Source organism: Homo sapiens, chromosome 7, assembly GCF_000001405.40.
Source record: "Homo sapiens chromosome 7, GRCh38.p14 Primary Assembly".
In the NCBI taxonomy this organism is placed as follows: Eukaryota; Metazoa; Chordata; class Mammalia; order Primates; family Hominidae; genus Homo; species Homo sapiens.
The window spans coordinates 27,309,797-27,321,018 of record NC_000007.14 but is presented as its reverse complement, the minus strand read 5'-3'; the positions used below and the strand labels follow the sequence as shown (position 1 = coordinate 27,321,018).

The 11,222-nt window shown below is 39.7% G+C and overlaps 1 annotated feature.

Moving 5' to 3' along the window:
- Nucleotides 413–914: an enhancer, noted in NCBI's record as "NANOG hESC enhancer chr7:27359724-27360225 (GRCh37/hg19 assembly coordinates)". NCBI's record gives its function as "activates a minimal SCP1, AML or CMV promoter by ChIP-STARR-seq in naive H9 embryonic stem cells {active_cell/tissue: H9 hESC(naive)}" and the evidence as "EXISTENCE:reporter gene assay evidence [ECO:0000049][PMID:30033119]".

Sequence of the window (11,222 nt, the reverse complement as noted above, 5' to 3'; positions counted from 1 at the left end):
TTTTAACCTTATGGGGAGGTTAAATGGGTCAGCCATTGTAAACTGGAATTCAAGGATAACTCAGGATACAGACCAGGTGGCAGACGACTAAGAAAGACTCAACTAGATTAGTGCAGTACTGTACTTTATCAGCATGTGAAACATATATTAATGCTTATGTAAAACCAGTGTGTTTTCCTTCCTTCCTTTTTTTCTTTCTTTCTTTCTTTTTGTCTAACCCTCCTTTATACTGACAAACATGGTACAGAGATGCTTAGGGAAAAGTTGCATTGAAATAGAGGTGGGAACTCAAGAAAAAAGTAAAACAGAAAGAAAATGGTAAGCAAATTTTAGATTTCCAAACAATGAAGTCACTTTAAGAATCATAATAACAATGAGATAAAACTTAAGTAAATAAAAAATTTTAAGGTTCAAATAATAAAAGTGATTTACTTTGTTTTTATCTCATATTTTTCAACTCAATAATAGTTATCCTGAAATGATTATAGTATTCACTTAGCACTTTTAAAAAGTCCTCTGCCCTTAGGCAGATTGCACTGGTCATCATGAAGATTGATACCTTAGACGCTGCTACCATTGACCAACATGGTTCCTGTTGACTGAGAGGCTAGGGGAAGACAGTAAGGAATAATGACCACACAGCAGGAGAGACAGTCATGTCTTAAGTGTTCCTACCTTTCACCCTTCACACTTTCCTGATGCTGACAACTGGAGGGCATTTCTCCAACTTTTACAGATATTTCCCTTGACCTGCTCCTTCAATAGGTCTTCCTGCTTGGGCTGAGGTACTTGGTACAAAGAAATTTTCCTTTGTCCTTGATCTGCAGCTAGAAATCATAACTAATGGTGATTAACATCCATGAGCTAAGAAGTGAATATATTCCACCTTACAATGAGGAAATGTATGCTCAGAAAAATTAGATAACTTTAATGAAGTCACATACCTGCTAACTGATAAAGACAGAACTTGAACTTAAGTCAATCTAACTCAAGAATCCATTATTAAATGTCATGCTTTACTTTTCTAGCTAAATTCTTCTATTTCCTCTAGCAAAATTCTCTCTAATTAGAAAGTATAGATAGGTCATTCTCAGGAAACCAGACCTCCAAGCCTTTCTGAGCATGGGCTCCAAATTGTATACTATCTTTGCCATTAAGAAACCCCAAACCGAAAAGTAAAACAAAAGTTGCATCAAGCCAGACATGGTGGCACATGCCTGTAGTTCTAGCTACTCAGAAGGCTGAGGCAGGGGGATTATTTGAGCCCAGGAGTTCAAAGTCCAGCCTGGGCAACATTAAAAAATAGAACTGGTGAATATAGGGCCCGAGCAGAGAACGCTATGAAACAACTCTAACGCACACATGTGACTCTCGTGGAAAAAGAGATTCAAGGAACCTAGCCCACAGACCTAAGAAATAGGATAATTCACACCCAACAAACTACAGATCGTAGAGTAATTTTAATTTGAAAATTGGTCTGAGGGACCCTCAAAATAAATGTTTAAAATGTTCAGAGAGATGAAGAAATAGAATTCACAAAGTAAGAACAAAAGAACAGGATGAGTTGGGGAAAAAACCAGTATGTATATATCCCAGACAATAACAAATATTCTCACTAAAATAAAAAAACTCAACAGACAAGTTAAACAATAGATTAAACATAGAAAATATGAACAAGAAGTTAAGAGACATGGAAAATAGATCTAAAAGTTCCTGAAGGAAAAAACAGAACGGCAGAAAATCAATATTAAAAGATATCCTGACTTGGAATTTCCCAGATTGTTTTAAAAGTTTTATCAGATTAAAAAAGCACATCAACTTCTCTTCAGGATAAATAAAAACAAATCTACAAAGAGACCCATGAGAGCAAAATAGCAGACCATCAAGGACAAATAGAAGAATCTTAAATGATACCAGAGAGAAAAGACAGATTATCAACAGAAAAACAACAATCAGACTGACCATGAATTTCTCATGAATAATAGATGCCAAAAGAAAATGAAATAAAATCTTTAAAGTGCTAAGAAAAAATAACTGCCAACCAAGAATTCTATGTCATAATGTGGCAGAGGTAATGCCGTGAATTCACTAAACATTCCTCCTGGGCAAACAGGATGACTACATTTCTCAACTTCTTTGGGGCTATGCAATTGGATTTCTGGCCAACATGATACAATAGAAGTAATGTGCACCACTTCTAGGTTTGTCTGAAAAAACACACACACATACACATACACACAAACATGCTAAATAGCCAATAGACTCCCTGGAAAGAACTCAGTGTGGCAGAATCATAAAATGAAAACAGCAAGGATCTCTGAGGCACTGGTTGGAGGGAAGCTACTCAAGAGAGCCACCTGACACGTTAGACTAAGACATGAATGAGAATTTCATTTTAATTGTGTTAAGCCACAGAGATTTAACAATGAAGGTGATAGAGAAGAAAAGGCAGGAACTGGGCACAGTTGACCATTGTGAAGACTGATCTGAACATTGAGACAGCAGCTAGACAGTGCTATTGATCTTTCTATTTATTTATTTATTTTTGAGACTGGGTCTCACTCTGTTGATCAGCCTGGAATGCAGTGGCACAGTCATGGCTCACTGTAACCTCAAGCTCCTAGGTTCAAGTCATCCTCCCACCTCAGCCTCCTGAGTAGCTGAGACTGCAGGTGCACACCAACTTGCCTGGCTAATTTTTTAAATTTTTTGTAGATATAGAGTCTTGCTATGTTGCCGAGTCTGGTCTCAAATTAATGGCTTCAAGCAATTTTCCTGCCTGGGCATCCCAAATTGCTGGGATTACAGGTGTGAGCCATCATGCCTGGCCTATTGATCTTAATATACTAGACAAACAATTATTCAAGGATGAAGGTAATAGCCAGGTGTGGTGGCATGCACCTGTAATCCCAGCTACTTGGGAGGCTGAGGCACGAGAATCATTTGAACCTGGGAGGTAGAAGTTGCGGTGAATCAAGATCATACCACTGCACTCCAGCCTGGATGACAGAACAAGACTGTCTCAAAAAAATAAAAATAAATAAATAAATAAAGTAAAAAACAAAAGAAGGTTAAATGTGACCAGATTCATTCCAAAAAAATTACTAATAAATATATCTCAGAAAAAAGGAAATGAATCCAGAAAAAAGGTAAGGGAAGCCAGTTGCAATAGTGAGCAAAGATATCAGTTGTTAAGTGTTACTAGTGCTAAATAAATATTGACTTATAAAACAAAGTAGAAATAAAACACTTGATTAAAATGTAGAAAATTGAAGAAGAGGATGCAGAAAGAAATTTAAGCATGCCTAGTTTCTTGTATTATTTAGGAGATGAGTAAAAATATTGATTGTCCTTAGACTTTGTTAGAGTGATGTTTGAAATTTGAGTTTTACCACCAAGAGAACACAGGGTAAGGCATAGGTCAACATGGCCCAGTGTGAGTTTCTATGTCCCAGGGAACCCTCATAACTGTTTATCTTGTTTTCTTCTTACTGTAATCCTCCAATACTGGCAACCGGCTCAGTAAACATTGAACAAATGAAACAATTGGGAATGGGGATGGGAAGGATAAAATACAACTGTGAACCAGCTGAATCAAATATGTGCTCTATACTCAAATCCCGATAACCCCCTGGCTAAAATGCCATAGTTATCACTCTTAAAGAGCAGAGAACAGGCCAGGTGCAGTGGCTCACACCTGGAATCCCAGCACTTTAGGAGGCTGAGGCAGGAGGATAACTTGAGCCCATGAGTTCAAGACCAGCCTGGGTAACATAAAGAGATCCCGTCTCTACGAAAATAATAAAAAATATTAGCCAGGCATGGTGGTGCGTGCCTGTGGTCCCAGCTACTTGGGAGACTGAGGCAGGAGGATTGCTTGAGCCTGGGAGGTTGAGGCTGCAATGAGCCATGATCACACCATTGCACTCCAGCCTGGGTGACAGAGCAAGACCCCATCTCCAAAAAAATAAAAAATTTTAAAAAGCAGAGAATGGTTTGGCAGCTTCTCAAAATGCTAAACCTACAGTTACCATATGAGATAGCATTTCCACTCAGGTATATACCCAAACACATGAAAACAAATATCCACACTAAAACTTGCACAAAAGTATTCCTAGCAGCATTTTTTCCCAATAGGCAAAAAGTGTAAACGACCCAAATGTTCATCATATGATGAATGGATAAACAAAGTGCAGTTATTCACACAGTGGAACGTTAGACAACCATCAAATGGCATAAAGTACTGACACATAATACAACATAATGAACCTTGAAAACATGCTAAGTGGAAGAAGCCAGACACAAAATACCATATATTGCATGACTCCATTTATCTGAAATATCTAGAATAGGCAAATCACAGAGTTAGAAACTAAATTCATGGTTGCCAAGGATTGGGGGAGTAGGCGAAATGGGGGGTAATTGCTCAATAGCATGACATTTCCTTTTGGGCTGATGAACATGTTCTAAAATTAGATTTTGGTGATGGTTGCACAACTCTGAAAATACTAAAAACCATTGAACTGTGCACTTTCAGTGGGTGAGCTGTATAAGAATCATATCTCAAAAAGCTGTTTTTAAAAAAGTACCTAGCCTGGCATGGTGGCTCAAGCCTGTAATCTCAGCCACTGGGGAGGCTGAGGCGAGAGGATTGCTTGAGGCAGGAGTTTGAGACCAGTCTGGGCAACGCTGTCTCTACAAATAATTTTTTTTTAATTAGCTGGGCATGGTGGTGTGCACCTGTATTCCCAACTACTTGGGAGTCTGAGGCAGGAAGGATTCCTTGAACCCTGGAGTTCAAGTCTGCAGTGAGCTATGATGGCACCACTGCACCCCAGCCTGGGCAACAGAGTGAGACCCTGAGACCCTGTCTCTAAAAAAGGAAAAAGAAAACAACCTAGATTTCCCCCTACCCAAAACACACTACAGAATATCTGAGATCAAACTGCAAAAAAGAAATAGAGGCCGGGCGCAGTGGCTTACACCTGTAATCCCAGCACTTTGGGAGGCCAAGGTGGGCGAATCACGAGGTCAAGAGTTTAAGACCAGCCTGGCCAACATGATGAAACCCCATCTCTACTAAAAATACAAAAAATTAGCGGGGCATGGTGGCACGTGCCTGTAGTCCCAGCTACTCGGGAAGCTGAGGTAGGAGAATTGCTTGAACCTGGGAGGCAGAGGTTGCAGTGAGCCGAGATCAAGCCACTGCACTCCAGCCTTGGTGACAGAGCGAGACTCTGTCTCAAAAAAAAAAAAAAAAAGAAAAAAGAAATAGAATATTGTTTTTGACTTTGAAATAAACATTACTAGTTTACTTCATGTATATGTTTTAATGTATCCTGAAATGTATTTAATGTATATTTTAAAATAAAAAAGCAAAGAAGACCTAAACTAATAGATATTTCTTTTCCCAGCAAACCATAGCTAATTCCAGTGGATACTCAGCCTGCCACTTACCTTGTGAAATCGAATGAGGCCGGGCTAGACCTGGCAGCAAGTACTATTCTATACGCCATATATTTTAACTGTGAGAGCTCAAGTCAAGTCATAAACCTACATTTCCATAGATCCCAGACAAAAATAAACACAGACTATTATTTCTAATCCTTCCTCTCTGCTTTTCTCAGAGTGCTGATTAGATTGCATATTCTATGAAAGGATGAGTTCAATCTTTTCTAAAGTATTTCCTCACGGGTTCATCTGTGATTAAGGGTATAAGTTTTTCCCATTTGAAAGATGCATGATCCAGCTGTTCTTTTTGTCTGCCGCAACTTCTTGTTAGCCTTTCTGGAACTAAAGAGAGAAAAATAATGTTTGACTATAGTGACCTGAACATGTCCCTCCCAAACGAGAAGAGGGTCTTTTGTATGTACACCCAAGATAATAGCTTTTTTTAACCAGTAGTGATCTGTCATTCTAATTCTCTGTTACAATTTCGAAAGTTGTTGCGTATTTTATCTTTTAGGTCTTTAAAAATTCCATCCGTTTTGGCTAATGTGAAATGTCATACATGGAGGCCTGATAAGTTGAGAGCTAAATGTTTTAAGACCTCTCAAGTAATAATCACTAAGTACTTCATTTTCAAACATACACCATTCATTTGCGGCTGCAGAATAAAATGCTCATCACAGAGTCACACCACTGGCCCCAGGCCAGATTTTTCATCTTGGACCTTTGGTACATTTGGACTCCTCAAGCAACTAGCTATCTCCCTGGGCCTCCCAGTTTTTGCCTTTCATGGTAGGTGGAGGACCACCGTATGTAAAAACGAGGCAGAAAAAGCCTTTCTCCCTCTGCACAGAAATCCAGAGGAGCCATTTCTCAATAAACATCTAGGTCACCTCCAGGGCAGTGGAGGGTGTGTGAGGAGCTGCGCCCGCCTGGGTCCCCTCCTGCAGCTCCTGCTGGAAAGGCTGTCCAGAACACCCTGGGGAATTCTTATTCAAAGGGTCCAGGTTAACACTGTCTGCATCCCCAGGGATCCCCCTACACTCACAGGCTGGCTGATTTCCAAGAACTACCAATCCTCAGCCCTGTCCTAGAGGCAACCAATTTAATTTATATCAAAAAGAAAATTTAAAAAGCTTGTCACATAATCCAAAATAATCAAATGACATATGGACTTGAGTCAATGAATAGCTCTCATACAGGAAACAAGGCAGGCAGACCTGCTGACTGGCTGGGGTCTGGCTGAAATCTGAATTCAAGTTTAACGGGAAAATCAACTTTTCTCCTGGTGAAAGGACAGGAAAGTCAGGCCAGTATTTACTAGGCTGCGGATCTCCAAGTTTCAACCACAGGAAAGGTTCAAACAGGAAGGCAAAAATCTTTCTAGACAGAAAAACTATTCTCATAATGCGTATAAGCTTAAATGAAAAAAAGGAAGGTGCTGAATGGTGTCTAAATGTGCCAACTTTTGGTTTTAAAAATTAGGAATAGAAATATATGTTCCTACTTGCTTGATTTTGCATAAAAAACTCTGAAAGGATACACTAATAACTGATAAAAGCAGTTACTTGATTTGGGAGTGAAGAACTAGGAGGACAGAGATCAGGAGTAAGAGCTGGACTTTTCATCTATATCTTTTGCGTATGTATTTTTATTACTGTTTAACCATGTGTGAGGAAATGCTCTAGGTGCTATAGGAAATATGAGCAAAGAAAATTGATCCCTTAAGGAGCTTACATTGTAGTGAAAGACAACAAGTGTAAACACATAAAAATAAGTACATTAGATGATCATAAAAATAAAAAAGTAGAGAAGGGTAAGGGGGCTAGGAGTTAGGAGAGGAACAGTTTGCAGTAATTAAAAAAGGTGATAGAGGAGGCTCATCACGGTTAGATCTGCAGTGATTTGTGGGAGGTGATGGGGTGGAAATATGAATCTTTAGGGGAAGAGTGTGTCAGGCAGAGGGAACAGCTTTGGTGGTGGCTCTCAACTGAGGACAATTTTGCCCTTTAAGGGGCAACCAGAGATGACTGAAAACATGTTTGATTGTCATGACTGCAGAGGATGCTACTGGCATCCAGCGGGTAGAGAGAGGACAGGATCCTGCTAAACATTCTACATTCCACAGGACAGCCCCCACAACAAAGAATTGTCCAGCCCAAAATGTCAGTAAGAGCTACTGCGAGGACATCTACCCAGTAACTGCCTATCCAGTGTCGGACTGACATCACCCTCGTTGTTGATCCTTGTAGCCAAAAATAATCATTTCAAAACAATTATGTAATCCTCTTCATTTTTCCTTTAAAACCTTTTATCTTATCTTACCTCCTTGAATACGCACGTAGTTTACTATGGCACACATATTCCCATTGCAATGCCCTATTTCCGAGTAAATATGATTTTTGTAACACCCTATTCTAAAGATACTTATTCAGGAGGAGGACATTGCAAGGGGGAATTGCAATGCCCTCTGTTTGTTATTTAGATTGACAGTTCACAAGGCTACTTCTTTACAACAGTGCTCATACTTCCTCTTATCATGCACAGCAGTATTTGAAAGGTCCTTCATTCCTCCTCTCCACCATCTCTAGCCTCATTACAAAGCATAGCTTCACAAAAATTGCAGAAACTACCATTGTTGGGGCTCTATTCTGTTCTTAGTTAAGAATGGAGGGCCGGGCACTGTGGCTCATGCCTGTAACCCCAGCACTTTGGGAGGCTAAGGCGGGAGAATCACGAGGTCAGAAGTTTGAGACCAGCCTGACCAATATGGTGAAATCCAGTCTCCACTAAAAATACAAAAATTAGCTGAGTGTGGTGGTATGTGCCTGTAATACCAGCTACTTAGGAGGCTGAGGCAGGAGAATTGCTTGAACCCAGGAGGTGGAGGTTGCAGTGAGCTGAGATCGCGCCACTGCACTCCAGCCTGGGTGACAGTCAGACTCTGTCTCAAAAAAAAAGAATGGAGAAAAAATCAAAAACAGAATATTATCTTGTTGATAACTAAACCTCAGGTTGTGGGGGTCAGGTCAAAAAGAAATGGGAAAGATGGAAGCAAATCGAAGTAATGAAGAGGGAGGTGGTTTTCTTTCCTTTTCAAGGAAAAAGAGGGATTGGTGTCTCTGCAGAGGTAGAGAGCAGAATGCAGACTTCAAGTCTCCCATCTCTGTTGACTCAGTCAGTGATCAGAGACTCTAGAAAAATCCTGGAGTTTCCTATCCTTTTTGTCTCCTTGTTACTGTTTTCCCATTTGTGGCTACCTAGTAATTGCTCTATAATTTTTTTTTTTTCTTTTGAGACTGAGTTTTGCTCTTGTTGCCCAGGCTGGAGTACAGGCATGCGCCACCACACCCAGCTAATTTTGTATTTTTTGTAGACATGGGGTTTCTCCATGTTTGTCAGGCTGGTCTCAAACTCCCAACCTCAGGTGATCCGCCCACCTTAGCCTCCCAAAGTGCTGGGATTACAGGCGTGAGCCGCCGCGCCTGGACTTGCTCTATAATTGTTTAGCAGAACCACTGCAAAACAGAACTGAATGACGTGAGGACTCTTCTCAGCATTTCTAGAACCAAAGTATCTACTGGTAGGCTGGAAAACACAAGGTTTATTTGAGTAAGAGTGACTGGTTTCGTTTAACTGGAATATCACTCAGGTTTGAGAGAGTAATGAACAATAAAATTGGTTGCTGGGGTGATATTAAAATATTTAATAACCACTATGGTTATAAAAATGAATACATAAACTGACATATTTCGGACACTTGAAAATATATCCCCTTGTAATCATAAGTGAACTAAATCAGATGTGTGTGTGGAGCCATATGGCAGTCGTTAAGAGCACAAGCTTTAGTGTCACATCAACCCAGGTTTCAATCCTGTCCCATACTAATTTTTACCAGCTTTGAGACCTCAGGCCAATTATTGAAGTGCTTGAGCCCCAATTTCTACAGCTGTAATATGGAGGTGATGACAACATATCACCTCAACAATATCACTCATAGAAATGCTGAGAGGATTAAAAATATAATGTAAGTAAAATACAAGGCCTAGCAATAGTAAGTGCTTAAGAAGGCCCATGTTATTAACATTAAAGTAATTATTTTGCATTCTTTCTATGCCAAGACAATAAACTTCTCAGTTATTTCTTATAATTTTTGTCATTACCACTGTCATTACCAATCTTTGCTTTTACAAAAATTACCTGAGTAAGGACTTTCTGTCTGAATCATCTGGATAACTGCATGGCTTTGGCTAGAATGGTCTGGTCAGAAAGAGAGGTTAGGAGGCAGCTCCCTGTCGGCTGTCTCAAGGTATGAGTAATAAAAGCCAGCGTCCAGATGAGGACACTGGTTTCCATAATGCTGGAAAATGGAAGTGTTCTATCTCTGTACAGAGACATAAATAAAGGGAGAAGATATATTTAATGAGCCATTTTAAAATGAAGTAAACATAAATAATAATGAATTGAAAAAAGGCTCCAAGATCTTGTGTTAAATCAGAAAAACAAGGTATGGAGCCATGTAGGTGTGTATGCACACATACACGTATGTTGTAGATGCATGGAATATCTCTGAAGGGATACATAAAAAATAGGTTCCTTCCCCCTGGGAAGGAAAACTAAGGGATAGGGTCAGAAATGGGGAGTGGACTCACTTTTCATTGAATGTGCTTTTCTACTTAGATTTTTTTATCACATACCTTTACTTTAATCAAAAATAATTTTTAAAATTATAAACAAAAAAATGGCATGTAAAATGCATCAACAAAAAAGCTCTACCTATACTAGTTAAAACATAAAATGCTAAGGTCTAGGAATATCAGGTGTTGACAAGAATTGGGAGAAATACAAACTCTTACCTTTTTCTCCTGGAAGTCTAAACTGGCACTCATTTTAAAAAGCAATTAAGCAATAACATAATGGTAAGGTTAATAATGTGCATGCCTTACAATTTCACTCTTAGACATATACCTAAAGAAATTCTCACATGGCCTGGTGCAGTGGCTCACTCCTGTAATCCCAGAACTTTGGGAGGCCAAGGTGGGTGGATCCCTTGAGCTCAGGAGTTATAGAGACAAGCTTGGGAAACGTGATGAAACCCATCTCTACAAAAAATACAAAAACTAGTCGGGTGTGGTGGGGCGTGCCTGTAGTCTCAGCTATTCAGGAGGCTGAGATGGGAAGATTGCTTGAGCCTGGGAAATATTGTGCCAATGTACTCCAGCCTGGGCAACAGAGCAAGACCCTGTCAAAAAGAAAAAAAGAAAACAAAATCATCAGTTGGGCGTGATGGCTCACACCTGTAATCCCAGCACTTTCGGAGGCTGAGATGGGCAGATTGCTTGAGGCCAGGAGTTCAAGACCAGCCTTGCCAACATGGTGAAACCCCATCTCTACTAAAAATACAAAAATTAGCCAGGCATGGTGGTGGGCGCCTGTAATCCCAGCTACTCAGGAGGCTGAGGCAGGAGAATCACTTGAACCTGGAAGGCGAAGGTTGCAGTGAGCTGAGATCACACCACTGCACTCCAGCCTGGGGAACAGAGTGAGTCCGTCTCAAAAACAAAAAAAGAAAGAAATTCTCACATATATATTGTATTTAAGGACATGTTAAATGTTCACAGCAGTATTGTTTATCAATAGGGGAAGTGACAAAAATAATCTATAGCATAATTATGTATTGTAATACTGTACAGCAGTTAAAATGAATGAACTAGGTGTACATAATCAATGTGAATTCAAAAATATAATGTTACAAACCACTGCTCAATGAAATA